Below are 16,216 nucleotides of genomic sequence, written 5' to 3' on the forward strand. Positions count from 1 at the left end.
TGCAAGGGGAATGAAAAGGACAGCAGGACTGATGGACAGAGTGAAGGAAGCTTGTGTACCAAATTGAAAAACGAAAAGCCTCATTTGCCTGCAAAAGAGAATACTCATGTGAAACTGACTCCTGAGAAAATGTGGGCAGGAATGATTTAGCAGGCAGGTGGAAGGTGGAGAGATTTGGTGTGGATGCGTTTGAGGTGATGGCAAGCCCACCCAATAAATATACGAGAGGCATCTAGACATTGAAGCCGAGTGGGACAGAAATAACGCGCAGGGCCGTCCATCCAGGGGGAACGGGTGAGGCTGGTGAGAATGAGCGAGCATCCACCAAGGTTCAGGCTCAGGTTTGCTCTTTTAATGCACACACACTTCTTGTCCCAGAGAATTTGGGAGGTCAGGGGATTGAAAGAGCCTTGAGTTATGGTAAAGGCAGCACTGAAGGTTGAGACTCTACAGAGGCCCAGAAAGGGATGATGCGGGCCCAGGAGGAAGCATGGGCTCGGTGGTCTGGAAGCAGTTGAGTGATGAGAGGTGTATCTAATCTGGCTTCCTTTCCTCATTTCTTTGCAGCTTCCGCCTGAAGCCACTAAAACCTCTGAGAACTGCCTGTCACCATCAGCTCAGCTTCCTCTAGGTCAAAGCTTTGTGCAAAGCCACTTTCAAGCACAATATAGGTAAGATGGGGATGTGTTTAGAATGTATCACCCGAGGGCTCCGCAGACTCAATTCCTGGTAACCAGTCTCCCATTGACAGATTTACCCTGAGATTTCAAAACAACAAAACCACAAACACCCTTCTCTCTCCCATTATAAATCCTGATTAAGCACACACTCCTGTTGTCTCTGACCTTTGGTATTTCTTCTTTTCCTTCTTCTTGGCTTCTGAGCTCTCCACCTTACTTGAAGGAGGGGTGATAAGAGGATGATTCCACAGAAGGTAAATGTGAGCTGGGATCTCACTAGCAAGCAGTCACTCTGAAGTTGGAGAGACCCTTCCTGTTTGTTCTCTCTCCAGAGAGCCCAACTTAACAAGTCATTCTGAGCTCAAGAGTTCCAAGCGTTATGGAGGATATAAAAATGTATGTACAGCCTGGGCAACATAGGGAGACCCCATCTGTACCAAAAAAAACCACAAAAAACAAAAACAAAACCTAGCCGGGTGTGGCACGTGCCTGTGGTCCCAGCTACTCGGGAGGCTGAGATAGGAGGATTGCTTGGACCCAGGAGGTCAAGGCTGTGATCGAGGCTGGCGTACAGTGAGCCGTGATCGCACCACTGTACTCCAGCCTGGGCAACAGAGTGAAACCCTATCTCAAAAAAAAAGTAAATAAATAAATAAACAAACAATAAAAAAAGTTATACAGCCTTTGACTTCAGAAAGTATGTGTTCTCTTTGAGCTTTTATATGTGAAAGTGCAGAGATTCATACAAGGCAGAATCGTTTCAATATTATAATGTTCAGTGAAAGCGCTGACAGCAGTGAAAGGTCAGAGAGGGGAGAAAACCCCATGGACTTCTCAGAGGAAGTGTGCCTTTTGTTGGCCTCTGCAGGATGAATAGAAGTACGAATGGGTAGGAAGATAGTCAACAGGAACAAATGCAAGCTTAAAGGTGGGAATGAGCACAGTGGTCGGGATTTAGACGAGGAAGCCATTGGTTACAGAGAGCCTCCTCTAAGATGCTTGCCTGTGTGTGTATATGTGTGTGTGCATGTGTGCGTGCACGTGTGCGCGTGTCTGTGTGTTGCCAATATATATAATCATGCGTTTATATGTGTGTGTGTGTCTATATATATTTTAAGCCTTACAAAAGTCTCAGGGGATGAGTATTAAAATTTGGGAAGTTGGGCTTTTTCTACAGACACATGGTAAGTGGCAGAACCAGGATTTGTCCCCTGAAATATGTCTAAAGCACAAGTCCTGCCTTTTTGCCTTCTTTGCAATTTTTCTGTTTTTCCAGCTAACCTTGTTCATTCACTGTGATTCTCTGCTGCTCCTTCAATTTCACAGGAACTCTGTTCTCTATTATGGATACCAAAACAAGTTTTTTGTATTTTTCTTCTGGATGTTGCACTAAATCATTTCGAAGCCATGCTTTTCTCCGAGTCGTCTGGATAATATTTCCTTTGCATTTCTCTGCAGTGGTTTTTTGGAGGTCTCCAGGTGGTTTTCTTCTCTTATTGACTTCTCTTCAAACAAGGAGATAATTATTCAGTCTTCTAGAATTTCCTTGCTTATAGCCATTTACTTCCATACTTTTTGGGGATTTGTATTCTTTGTGTTTGCACAGCAAGAGGTCACTTAAAACTGCCCGGAAACTATCCTGATTTAGGATTCATGTTATATTCAATAACCACTGAAAAGATAAATAGGATATAATTACTGTCTTTAGAGGCTGATTGTTTATTTAGGAAGACCAAATAGTCTTTGAAACTAAGCTGCTTTCCACTGGTGAAGAAAAATCTATAGCACTTGACAAGTTCTCTCACGCTCTGCCTCACCAGGGACAGGGACCCTGAAGAAACAGCCGGGATGACTGCGGGCTCTTCGTTCCTGCTTGCTTGAGGTTGTTTAGTATACAGGGTAAAGAGGATCTCACCTCTATGAGCTCAGATTTCTCTGTCATGCCTGAAGAAAGCCTTGCTCATTTCCTGAGGGATGTGGTAACTCTCCAGGAGGTATGCAGAGAGGAAACCTAGATTTTGTGGTCACCAGCCTTGAAAGCTATTGGCCATGAAAGCCGCTTGTAGGGCATCTGTCTTATTTATTTATTTATTGAGACAGAGTCTCCCTCTGTTGCCCAGGCTAGAGTGCAATGGCACGATCTTGGTTCACTGCAACCTCCACTTCCCGGGTTCAAGTGATTTTCCTGCCTCAGCCTCCTGAGTAGCTGGGATTACAGGTGCGTGCCACCATGCCTGGCTAATTTTTTTTTTTTTTTTAATTTTTAGTAGAGATGGGGTTTTACCATGTTGGTCAGGCTGGTCTCGAACTCCTGACCTTGTGATCCACCTGCCTCGGCCTCCCAAAGTGTTGGGATTACAGACCTGAGCCACCACGCCCGGCCGGGCATCTGTCTCCTCTTCAGGTGCCCAACGCAGAGGGTGCTAGAACCAAAAATAAGGAGACAGAGGAAAAGCATAGAGAAAGTGAAAGAAGAACATTTAGAACAAGGGAAAGGGGAGTATAAGGTGAAGGCATGTTAGAGAGAGGGGAGAGATCACTGATCATCGCCAGCAGGTCGAATTCATCTGTGTGCTTGTACAATTAATTCACCTATTTCTCTATTCATTTCCCCTCTCGTCCACATACTCTTCTTCCTTCTTTCAAATATTCAAGTGCCTGCTAATGTGCTTGGTCCAATAGTTACCATGAGGAGTAGAACTCCTGGCTGAATCCTTGTTGATTCTTTAGATATTTCATTCATGCCCTACTGCGTGCTGGGTTGTCTTGTAGGTGCTGTGAACAAGACTCAGCCCCTGTTCTCAGGGAGCTCGCATTCTACCTGGGGGAATGCTAGATAATGTACAAGTAAACAACAACCTGTGATAGCCATCAGCAGAAAGATAAGGAAGCACTTGGGAGGCGGGGAAGTGGCCCACATTCCATAAGGCGGGCAGGGACTAGGCTTCTTTTCGGAGCTGAAAACAGAGTGACAAGGAGTCTGCCATTTTAATAACTGGGCACAGAGTATTCCAGGCAGAGGACACAGCACAGGCAAAGGGCCAGAAGTGGGAATAATCCTGGCAAGTTCAAGGAATGGAAAGCCCAAGGTAGCTGCCAAGGAGTGAGTAGAGCAGCTGGGATTACAGGCATGCGCTGGAGATGGCTGGAGAGGTGGGTGGGGACCTGGTAGGGCAGGTTTTCAGTCCAAGTGTGCGGGTTTTAGTCTCAAGGGCACAGGAAGACACTGCAGAGTTAAAGGAGGGAGTGATCTAGTTCATTAGTTTCAGAGGTGACTGCTTTTTTTTTTTTTTTTTGAGACGGAGTCTTATGCTATCACCCAGGCTGGAGTGCAGTGGCGCAGTCTCGGCTCACTGCAACCTCTGCTTCCCAGGTTCAAGCCATTCTCCTGCCTCGGCCTCCCAAGTAGCTGGGACTACAGGCGTGTGCCACCATGCCCAGCAAATTTTTGTATTTTTAGTAGAGATGGGGTTTCATCATGCTGGCCAGGCTGGTCTTGAACTCCTGACCTCTAGTGATCCACCTGCCTCGGCCTCCCAAAGTGCTGGGATTACAGGCGTGAGCCACTGCACCTGGCCCAGAGGCAACTGCTTTTTATGAGCAATGCAGGGAGGCAAGAGGAGGCAGGAGCAACAGTTGGTGCCACTGTGGTCCCAGTGGGAGAGCAATGGTGGTTGGAACTGCAGAGGTGGCGGTAGAGATGGAGGGAAGTGGAGGGGTTTGGAGTATGTTTTTGGATGGAGAGTCAGCATCTTTCCATTAGTCCTTCCACCCCACAACCCTCACCCCAGTCTTGCTAACGGGGTGAGGGGTAGAGGAACTAAGGGAGAGGTGAGACTCTAGGGTGACTCTTGGGTTTTTCTATGATTATAACTGGTGAGTACTTTGGAGGAAAAATCGAGGGTGCTTTGAAGTACATGCCTGACTTGGCGTGGGATGAATCGGGGGTGGGGAGGACTTCCGAGGGAGTGACATTTGAGCTGATTGGATATTAAGGACCATCAATGCCCTTTGGGTATTTTTTCCTATAGCATGATGAGTAAGAGGCGAGGTGTTCACGCTAAAGATGAACTGGCAATGGCTAAAAATGCCAGCTTTGTGCCTGCTGATAAAGACAAGGTGTCGTCAGGGATGCCTTGAGGTCTGAGGGGTGGTTTTCTGCAGTGGTCAGTGGGGGAAGTGCCTGGCTGGCGTCTCCTGCTGTCCCTGACTCTCTCCTGGCTTCCTCTCCCTGGGGAGGGCTTGCCTGGGATGGCATCAGCCTTCTTGATGTAATTGAGAGATGGATGTTATTATGGGTTAATTCAGAGGCATCTTCCCTTAAACCCCTTTTAAGGGGCTGAGTTTTTGACTTTGGCTGGGGGAGAGAAAAGGAACCTCCAGTACTAGAGTACCGAAGATCCTGGACTATAGCAAAGATATTTAGTTATTCTATGTGATTATCATCACAGTCTAAAAATGTCTGCAAGTCTAACGACCAACGATTGTGGCTATGTTGGAGTTTTGGCTGGAGGAGGGAGTGTGTGTGTGTGTGTGTGTGCACAAATTCTTCATGTCCTTCATAGCCTTTATCCACAGAAAGTCTAAGGATGTTTTTGAAGGCTTCCTCAGAACAGATCTTGGAAAGGTGAGATCTTGCTTACGTATTGGCATAATTACTGTTGTTTGCATAGACGTCAGATCCACTGTTCAGTGAGCAGGTAAAGTGGACTGGGTTTGAGGTGAAAGATGTGTGTGTATTTGGCAGCAGTTAAAGGGCAGAGTGACAAGAAATTCAGGGGCAAAGCCTGGGGCTCTTTGGTGGGCGTTTGTAGCAGGTGGAAAAGCAAACCGCAGCCCTGAGTTTTAATAGCACTGACGGGATTAGCTTTGTTAACAGAAGCAATTTGACAAGGAGAATGAATACCTTAGGGAAATGGGCCTGTGAACATTGAAAGGCAGTGGGGTGATTTTCTGTTCCTTTTCCCCTTGAGTGCACTTGTGAGACAACAGGGCAGGACTGTGAATGTCCTGGAGGGAATGGGGAGAATGGAGGCATCCATCAGGCCACATAGGGGTATTGCTCTAGCCTGGTAACATGGGCAGAACTTTTTGTAAAAGTGAAGCTGCCTCTCCATCTTCTTCAGATCTGTTTGTCACATCAGTCTGTCCTGATTTCTGAACCTTTGACACGTGGATGTATTTGACATCTTTCCTATAGTTTATTATGAAAACATTATACTTTTTCATTCTTTATTTTATTTTTATTTTTTTGAGACAGAGTTTTGCTCTTGTCACCCATGCTGGAGTGCAATGGCGCGATCTCAGCTCACTGCAACCTCCGCCTCCCGGGTGCAAGCGATTCTTCTGCCTCAACTTCCCAAGTAGCTGGGATTACAGTCACCTGCCACCACGCCCGGCTAATTTTTGTATTTTTAGTAGAGATGGGGTTTCACCATGTTGACCGGGTTGGTCTCGAACTTCTGACCTCAGGTGATTGCCCACCTCGGCCTCCCGAAATGCTGGAATTACAGGCGTGAACCACTGCGCCTGGCCATCGTTTTCATTCTTTCAATATAAAATTTGCCCATTCTACTTTTTTTCTACAAACCACTCATCGCTTGCTAGCTGATAGGAGTTGGTGGCTCAATGTAAAAGTCATATTCCTGAACCAGTTTAATATGTCGCAATGCTTCAAGAAAAATGCAACCCAGCATAGTTTTGGTAGGCTGAAAAGCATGAAGACGTCAATGAAAAACATTCTCTCTCATTGGTTTATATACTTGTGAAATGGGAATTTGGGAATTTCCCAATGACCCAAGTATATCCTTCAGGCCAATTTTTTGCCTAGGTACGTGATGGACAGAGGTGGAGAAGGATTGGAGGAGAGACGCAGTGGCAGAGGAGACCCCAGAAATGTTGGATTTCTGGCTGGCTGGTGTTCACTGTCTGATACAATGCTTTCAACAAAAACACTACCATGGGTCTCCCAAAGGGAAATGACCTGAGGCAGCATGAGTGATGGAATGTCCAGTACTGGGGCCTGTTTCCTATAATCAGGTTGATGGTCTGATAAGTTGTATCCAAGATAACTGACTTAAATGGGCAGATCACCCAGGATTGCCTCGGGCGACACTCTCCTGTTTATGTTCCTGTTTGTCCCTGGATTTTCCTATTTGTCTGCTCAGTGGAAAACCAATCAAACGAGACGGGCACTTTCCACAAGGACTCAGGAAACCTGTTCTGATACCAACTTTGGCTTACTTGCTGACTTATCCCGGTAATGTCATACAGTGCTAAGAGTATAGACTTCAGAGTCAGACTGCCAGGGCGGTCTTGTTCTGTGTCCTCAGCGAAGTTAATGTAGATTTTAGGATTAGTAACATAGCATGCAGAAATCCCTTGTGTCTTGGAAGAATATGGTGCATTATATGATAAGAGAAAGAAAATTGGTATGTACATGTGGAATATAAAAGTTGCATTTCAGCCGGGGGCAGTGGCTCACGCCTGTAATCCCAGCACTTTGGGAGGCTGAAGTGGGTGGATCACAAGGTCAGGAGTTCGAGACCAGCCTGGCCAACATAGTGAATCCCCCGTCTCTACTGAAAAAAATACAAAAATTAGCCGGGCGTGGTGGCAGGCACCTGTAATTCCAGCTACTCAGGAGGCTGAGGCAGGAGAATCGCTTGAATCTGGGAGGCAGAGGTTGCAGTGAGTCGAGATCGCGCCATTGCACTCTAGCCCGGGTGACAGTGCGAGACTCCGTCTCCAAAAACAAACAAAAAAAAGTTGCATTTCACTTTCAGAGATCCATTCTAAAGTAAAGGAGTATTAAGTTTAAAAGAGTTGAAAGAATATAAATGAACATTATATATATCTACTCTGAACCAACTGACACCTCACCGACTTCTACGAAAGAACGCAGGAATGATATGAGCACGGAGTCTGGAAACTGAGCCTAGCTTTCTTACTTAAGAGCTGTGTGTTCTTCAGCAAATTACTTAACCTCTGTGTGCTTCAGATTTCTCTTCTGTAAAATGTGTATAATATCAGTTGCTATGGGTGGTAAATGGGTTCATCTATGCTAAGTGCTCAGAATTATGCTTGGTTCTTAGTACATGCTATTTCCATGTTAGTTATTACTTTAAGGAGCTATTTCTTATGGTTTCTTCTTCTGTACAATAAGGAGGGTGGGCAGTGTCAGTGATTCTCTACTATGGGAGAACACTAGGGTCATCTGGGGAGCTTAAAAGCTCAGGATTTTAGAAAGATTTTGATGTCTGGACCCCTCTCTACCCACCTTGAAACAGAATCTCTGGGAGTGGGGCCTGGACATTGGAATTTTAAAAAAGCCTTCCTGTGGTTCTGGGGCACAGTGAGGCTGAGAAGCAGGGGAAGAGATGGTCCTGAGATCCCTTCAGCTTGGAAGTTGGCATGCTGGGTTTGTATGGCAGGGGCGGGTTATAGCTTCCCTTCCCATACTCAGTGCATTTATGTGTGTCACTAAACATTCTTTTCCCTTTTAAAAAAACGGAGGTGAAAGTCCTGTAACATAAAGTTAAGCATTCTAAAGCGTACAAATCAGTGACATGTACATTCACAGTGTTGTGCAGCTACCACCTCCTAGTTCCTAAACATTTCATCACCCCAAAATAAAACCTGGTACCCAGTAAGCAGTCAGCCTCATCCTCCCTTCCCTCAGCTCCTGGCAACCACCAATTTGCTTTCTGTGTCTATGGCATTACCTGTTCTGGATACTTCATATAAACGGGATCGTACAATATGTGGGCTTTCATGTCTGGCTTCTTTCACTTAGCGTGCTGTTTTCAAGGTTCATCCACGTTGTAGTATGGACCAGGGGTTCATTCCTTTCTATGGCTGAGTTGTACTCTACTATGTGGACGTATCATATTCTGTTTACCCATTTGTCTGTTGATGGACGGTTGGGTTGTTCCCACCTTAACTATTGTGAATAGAGCAGCTATGAACACTTGTGTACAAGTATTTGAACACCTGTTCTCAATTCTTCTGGGTATGTACCTACGAGTGGAATCACAGGGAGTGGAAATGCAAGGATAATTCTGTATTGAATTTTACCCCCAAATTGTTTACGTGTGATTAAACGTTCGCCTCTGTTCTTCACCCTCACAGATCTTCCTTGACTTGTCCCCACTGCCTGAAACAGAGCAACACCTTTGATCCTTTCCTGTGTGTGTCCCTACCTATCCCCTTGCGCCAGACGAGGTACGTGAGTGTCGCGGCTTGCCCGGTGAACTTGACTTCCATCCTTACTCATTACGGGGAAGCTTCTGGCCTCACACCTGCCATTTTCTCTCCTTTGCTTCTCAGCCAGCATTTCTCTGGAAACCAGCCTTATAGCTGGATGACATTCAACTATTGAAATTGACAGAGTGAAAGGTTACTGTGTTCCTTCTCTAGCTGAGGAAGGAATTATGAATGTTTGGCACAATTGCCAGACTTAGATCTGTGGCCCATTCAGAAGCTGGCACGGACCCATTGGTCTCACTTAGTGAGACAGGGGCAAACTAGAGAAAATCCGTGGCCACCTGCTTTTTTTTCCCCAGCTTTACTTCAACTTCAAAAATCTATTTTCTTCTTTGAGAAGGTGCAGGAAAAAGATTTCTTTAAGGAGCAAAGAAAGAGGAAAGGGGTTGTTTGGGGAAGATGAGAAAAAAAAAGAAAAGTGGAGGTAGGGCTGGGTAACAGGCACCATGGGCCGAGTTCTATAAAAATAAGCCCAAATCTTAGCAGTGACCAGGAAGGCAAATGGCCAATGTCAGTGTCCTGGCATGTGGGTGAGCTCCTATGTGGGGTGTCTTCTCTGGCATTGGAAGAGAGGTATTTCCTCTTTATGTTCCCCACCTCCTTAAGTGCCATTTCTCTTACCCTCTTCCTATTGACATCCCCTGCCTTTAGGATGCAGCTGAAGACATAACATCTTCAGAGGGCCTTGCTTGGCAACTCAATCTCCCTTTCTGCTCTAAAATTGTGTGCTGCTGATCTTCTGCACTACAAATATAACTACTGGCTTATGCTATAACATGGCTTATGCTGTCTATCATCAGTGACACCATCAGATAATGTCAACTTATAGATGTGATGATCTAAGACTCCCAGCCTGACACAGCACAGCAGAGTGGTCAAGACCACTGACTCTGGAGCCAGACGGCCCAGGTTCGAATCCCAGCTCTATTAATTAATTACCTGTGTGACTTGGGCAGTTATTGGAGTACAGATCAAGAGAAACAGTAGCTGCAAGAGTGGGCCTTCATATGCCGGTGGGAAGGGGAAGCAGAGATTTCCAAAGGAGACTCTCATTAAGGAGAATGTCATCAGTAGTGTTGATTTGTACTGAAAAAAACACCTTGACTGCTTTAATTTTCAAACTTTGGAGTTTGTTTTTGTTTAAGCTTATCTATTTAACAACTAGAGCCTTGAGATCGGACATCTCTATGGTGATTCTTAATCAAATACTTTTTCCCCCAATTCTCTGGAAAAGTAATTTAGAAGATTTGGCTCTACCCTGCCACCTGGTGACAATGTACCAAGTACAGGGACACAACCAGGAAGCGGAGATTAACTATGTGCTGAACTTGATCCATTATCTTTCTTTCTTTCTTTCTTTTTGAGATGGAGTCTTGCTGTGTCACCCAGGCTGGAGTGCAGTGGTGCCATCTCTGCTCACTACAAGCTCCGCCTCTCAGGTTCAAGCGATTCTCCTGCCTCAGCCTCCCAAGTAGCTGGGATTACAGGCATCCGCCACCACACTCAGCTAATTTTTTTGTACTTTTAGTAGAGATGGGGTTTCACCATGCTGGCCAGGCTAGTCTCGAACTCTTGACCGCAGGTGATCCACCTGCTTCAGCCTCCCAAAATGCTAGGATTACAGGTGTGAGCCACTGCGCCTGGCCTTGATCCATTATCAACAATGTCATTCACAGTTCATGTCAGTCCTTTAAGGGTGTTGCCCCTTCCTATTTTCCAGGTTCTTGAGTGTCACCTTGGTCTTCCCCTCTAAGAGCCAGCGGTTCCTGCGGGTTGGCCTGGCCGTGCCGATCCTCAGCACAGTGGCAGCCCTGAGGAAGATGGTTGCAGAGGAAGGAGGCGTCCCTGCAGATGAGGTGTGATAGAATTGCACTGGGGCCTGGTCATTGGATGATAGAATGCTAACTGAGCCAGCTGTCTAGGCTGTTTAGGCCAATTTGTGGTTCCCAGGTGACTCCAGTATGACTCATGGGTTTCTGGTTGATTAGTAATGCCTGCTGTCTGGGATGACTGGGCCTTGACTTTTCCCTGCATTGACACAGAATGACCAGAAAAGAACACCTTTGCCTTCCGAGAAGGCAATGACAATTATGATCATAATAATTCCAGCAATAGCTACCCCTAGGTAGTGCTTACTAAGTGTGGGGCACTATTCTGTGAACTTTCTATTCATGCCTGATTTAATCACAGGCGTCCTGTGAAGTAGACATTACAATTATCCTCATCTTACTAATGGGGAATAAAGAAGCCCTGAGAGGTTAAGTGACTTGCCCAACGTCACTAGCTAGTAAGTGGCTGAGCCAGGATTTGGATTTCGATGGTTTGACTTCATAGCCCAAGTCACCATTGTATATTTTCAGTCTTGGCAATATAAACCAGGACAGTAAAGGAACAGTAAATGAAGCAGGAGGACCTGCTGAGAGAACTGAGGATGTATAACATGAGAGAGAACATCTGGCGGAAGCTGGGATGGCTGTGTTCTACCTGTTTTCTTTTCAAACGAGTCTTAGTAAAGCGATTGGATTCACAGTGCCTGGAGGGGCCCTCATGAGGAATAGGGAGGAGGCCGTGGTGGCGCCAAGCCACATGGCAGGATGGGAGCGGCCCTCAGGGTGATTCAGTAGCTCCCTAGGTTTCTGACCCTGGACACAGTATGTGATTGGCTCTGTGTCCTTAACTGTGACATGGAAATTGACACTTCCCTGACTATCTCATGGGATTTTTTCAAATCAAAAAATATTTTTAACCTTGTTGGGAAGGCATGCCACACATACAATAACGTCTACCTATCTGAAGATTGTGGTTTGCTGGCTTTCTCTACGTTCATAGCTACATTCCTATAACCTCCACGCTTCCTGAGCCTCCCCATCACCCCAGTGGGCTCCTTTCTGCCCCTGCCCAATCAATCCCTCTGACCTCTATCGCTACCTCATAGAATATTTATGACTCTCTCAAATAGCAGGGGAAATGTGTGTATCTTGCTTTGTAAACTTTAAAGTGCACTATGGGGAGTTACTGAAAGAGACGGAGAGAGAGGGGGACAGTGGGTGAGAGTCCTGGGGAGAAAGTGACAGTAAGAAAAGATCAAAAGGGAGAAGTCTATGAGAGGGAGCGTTTGAATAATTAAGAGTGTGAAAAATCTGGCAGGAATTTGAGAGGTGTGATGTGTTGGTTCAGGGAGATGGGAGTCAGTTGGGGATGCCAGTGTGGGACGGGCATTTCCACTGAAACTGAAAGTCATCTATTTTGATGCTTTGTTTTCTTTAACTGGCAAGTGTATTATATTTATGTTATATAAAATCATAGATATATGTACTTGGATTTATTTTTCTATTTTATTTATTTATTTTTTGACGGAGTCTCCCTCTGTCGCCAGGCTGGAGTGCAGTGGCACGATCTCGGCTCACTGCAACCTCCGCCTCCCAGGTTCAAGCGATTCTCCTGCCTCAGCCTCCTGAGTATGCATCACCACACCCAGCTAATTTTTTGTATTTTTAGTAGAGACGGGGTTTCACCATGTTGGCCAGGATGATCTCGATCTCTTGACCTTGTGATCTGCCCGCCTCAACCTCCCAAAGTGTTGGGATTACAGGCGTGAGCCACTGCGCCCGGCCTGTATTTGGATTTATTTATGTCATCTTATTTATTTATGTCATCTTATGCTATTTACCCTGTTTTCCTATTTTGTACCGCCCCTCCCCCCCCATTTTTAGATTGAACAGTCTTTTTCTTTTAGAAGATGATTCTTTTACATTGAGCAATTTTTCTTTATTTCATCTTTTCTGGGATGAAGTACATCCAGAAGATGTACTTCATGTACATGTCAATATGTATATGTAAATATAATATATACATTATATTTCCATTCTTTTAGTGGTTACTAAAATGTCAACTTGCATAATTACGAGTCTAAAGCCAATCTTCCCATGTAACACAAGGATCTTGGTATGCATTAAATCCCCTTATACCTTTTTGATTTAGATATTATTGTCCAGTATTTTAATCCCTTCTCCACCTCCAACTGTAATAGTAATAATAGTTATTATTTTAGCTTTATATAGTTGATAATATTTACCTTTGCCAATGTTTACCATTTTCTTTGGTTCATCATTTCTTCCTACAACTCAAGTTTTCTCTTTGATTCAGGTTTTTAAATCCTGAAATCTATGTATTTATGAATGAATGAATGAATGAATGACAGGGTTTTCCTCTGTTGCCCAGGCTGGAGTGCAGGGGTGTGATCATAGCTTGCTGCAGCCTTGAACTCCTGGGCTCAAGGGATCCTCCCACCTCAGCCTCCTGAGTAGCTGGGACTACAGGCTCATGCCACCATGCCTGGCTAATTTTTTAAAAAAATTGTGTAGAGATGTGGTCTTGCTGTATTGTTCAGGCTGGTCTTGAACTCCTGGGCTCAAGTGACCCTCCCTCCTCAGCCTCCCAAAGTGTTGGGATTATAGGCATGAGCCACGGTGCCCAGCCCTGAAATGCATCTTTTTTTTTTTTTTTTTTTTTTTTTTAATGACGGAGTCTCGCTCTGTCGCCCAGGCTGGAGTGCAGTGGCACGATCTCGGCTCACTGCAAGCTCCGCCTCCCGGGTTCACACCATTCTCCTGCCTCAGCCTCCGTAGTAGCTGGGACTACAGGCACCCAAAATGCATCTTTTTAACGAGAACTTCCCAGGCAGTGTACCTTGAATAGGTTATGTGTGCTGAGATATTGATTTCTTCAGCATCAGGGTAACAGAGTTGGGTCTAGGGCAGTCAGGGCCCCCACAGTAGTCACCCCTCTACTCTGCTACAAAACCATCTCCTATTTACTTCAATGTTTGGTAAAAATTTTTTTTATGTATGCAATCACGTGAAAAAGGTTAGTAAACCTATTCAGAAATTCTTTCACTCTGTAGTAAACACTCACTTTTTGTTCACATGAAGAGGGCTTTATTTTGTTGTCATTTTTCTATGCTTGTTTAGCTGGGTATAAAACTTAGATTTTTTTTTTTTTTTTCAGTTTCTTTTTTTGTTGCACTTGAGATGTCTGAGGACAATCTAATGGTTGTATCTACTATGCTGCCTTATTACTAAAAATAAGTAGCCAATTGGAAGGAAAAGGTGAAAAATGGGTGTTGACTATCAGTCACTTTTAGATTTCTTATCTGTTGATTTCTCTTTCAGAAATCAAGAGGGAAAATGATCTTTCTCATTTCAGGTGATCTTGGTTGAACTGTATCCCAGTGGATTCCAGCGGTCTTTCTTTGATGAAGAGGACCTGAATACCATCGCAGAGGGAGATAATGTGTATGCCTTTCAAGTTCCTCCCTCACCCAGCCAGGGGACTCTCTCAGGTATAACAGGTGCTTTGCACAATTTTATTTGGCTATGATGAGTTACAGGTTTCAGAGGATACTCCTTGGGTGCAAAGGCATAAAACATCCAATTTTAGCACTTGGAACAGTCAGACTTATTATCCCTGGCATTCGTTGTGTGCAGATGGTTGATATTAAAAATTATTCACCTAACACAAGTATTCTCAAAACTAAGCTTAGTGAATATTAGAATCACCTGGAGGGCGTGTGAAAGCAGATTTCTGGACCCTACCCACAGAGTTTATGATTTGGGTGGCCTGGGGTGGGGCCTAAGAGTTTGCACATCTAACCAAGTTCCCAGGTGATGCCGATGCTGCTGGTCCAGGAACCACACTTTGAGAACCACTATTTGGTATAGATGCTGGAGTCATCTTTGCCGTCAGGATTCCTATGGGTCAAGATTTGTGTGTGAAGTAAAATGTCTACAAATTTGAGCAGTACGTGGTTAAAGTTTTATTAAATGACTTTTTAACAAAATAGTTCCACTTCTTAATGCTTGCTTTTCCTATTCCATGGACTGGCTAACATGGTCAATTTCTAACAGTCCTTTTTATTTGTAGATCAGGATACATTTTGGCCAAGTTAGTGAAGAAGACCCATATATATATTATATATTATATGTAATATATAAAATATATGTTATCTATTACATATAATATATAATATATATAAAATGTATATTATATATCATATATAATATAATATATGACATATACTATATAATATATACTATATAATATATACTATATAATATATACTATATAATATATACTATATAATATATACTATATAATATACTATATAATATATACTATATAATATATACATTATATAGAATATATTATATAATATATATTTAATATGTATTTAATATATTTGATATATATTTAATAATTATATATGTTATATATAATATAGATAAATATATATAAATATATATATAAATAAATATATATATAAATAAAATAAATAAAATAAATAAATATATATAAATAAATATAATATAGATAAATATGTAATATATTATATAGCTAAATATCTATATTATATATAGATAAATATATATAAAATATATTATATATATATATATATATATATATATATATATATATATATATATATTTGAGATGGTTTCTCACTCTGTCACCCAGGCTGGAGTGCAGTGGCGTGATCTTGGCTCACTGCAACCTCCACCTCCTGGGTTCAAGTGATTCTCCTGCCTCAGCCTCCCAAGTAGCTGGGACTACAGGTGTCTGCCACCACGCTTGGCTAGTTTTTGTATTTTTAGTAGAGATGGGGTTTCACCATGTTGGCCAGGCTGGTCTCGAACTCCTAACCTCAGGTGATCCACCTGCCTCAGCCTCCGAAAGTCCTGGGATTACAGGTGTGAGCCACCACACCCGGCCAGAAGGCCCATATTTAAAGGACCCTGTGCCAGTGTTACTTTATACCCCAGATGATTCCTACGCCCTGGCCCCACATTTTGGCCAGCCTAGGTAGCAGGCTATGGGAACTGGATGTTTGAAGTTCTCTGAGTTGACAGGGAGATGCTGGGCATTGGAATCTAGAACAAGACATTAACTGACACTGACTATATTACAACCCAGTGAAACAAGTTCTCCTTTCAAATTCAATCATGGTGGACACATCTTTTCCTTGAAAGTCAACATTTCAGAACTGATTGCAAATGGAGGCTAGTCCAATTCCTCTACTTCCTCACTGGTAAAGATTCTCACCCATCTCTATATACTTCTTATGTTGGCTTTCTAAGAGAGTAGATAAACTGGGGACTCTGTAATGAAGTCATAAAAGCAACCAAAATTATTTTGGAGTATTTTTCAGGTGACTTGAAATATATTAGTTAAATTCTTGTTCCTGTTTTAAAACTATAGGGTGATGGCCAGGTGCA

At 43.6% G+C, this 16,216-nt stretch overlaps 1 protein-coding gene across 8 annotated transcripts in view, besides 2 other annotated features; it reads left to right on the top strand.

Annotated features, from left to right (window-relative positions):
* USP43 (ubiquitin specific peptidase 43) overlaps positions 1–16,216 on the top strand; it is an 84,428-nt gene that overhangs the window by 20,821 nt on the left and 47,391 nt on the right. For 3 of the 8 annotated variants that reach the window (NM_153210.5, NM_001267576.2, XM_047435320.1), the window contains exons 3-6: positions 568–671; positions 8,811–8,903; positions 10,666–10,801; positions 14,151–14,286. In NM_153210.5, the coding sequence (NP_694942.3) occupies positions 568–671; positions 8,811–8,903; positions 10,666–10,801; positions 14,151–14,286 (469 nt within the window). The other 5 variants (XM_017024159.3, XM_047435319.1, XM_017024160.2 and 2 more) reach the window with 4 other exon arrangements.
* Positions 10,139–11,338: an enhancer, noted in NCBI's record as "P300/CBP strongly-dependent group 1 enhancer chr17:9579536-9580735 (GRCh37/hg19 assembly coordinates)". NCBI's record gives its function as "activates an origin of replication core promoter dependent on BRD2, BRD4, P300/CBP, MED14 and CDK7 cofactors, with strong dependence on P300/CBP, by STARR-seq in HCT116 cells {active_cell/tissue: HCT116}" and the evidence as "EXISTENCE:reporter gene assay evidence [ECO:0000049][PMID:35650434]".
* Positions 10,578–11,078: an enhancer, noted in NCBI's record as "H3K27ac hESC enhancer chr17:9579975-9580475 (GRCh37/hg19 assembly coordinates)". NCBI's record gives its function as "activates a minimal SCP1, AML or CMV promoter by ChIP-STARR-seq in naive H9 embryonic stem cells {active_cell/tissue: H9 hESC(naive)}" and the evidence as "EXISTENCE:reporter gene assay evidence [ECO:0000049][PMID:30033119]".

This window comes from Homo sapiens, chromosome 17 (genome assembly GCF_000001405.40).
Source record: "Homo sapiens chromosome 17, GRCh38.p14 Primary Assembly".
Classification (NCBI taxonomy): domain Eukaryota; kingdom Metazoa; phylum Chordata; class Mammalia; order Primates; family Hominidae; genus Homo; species Homo sapiens.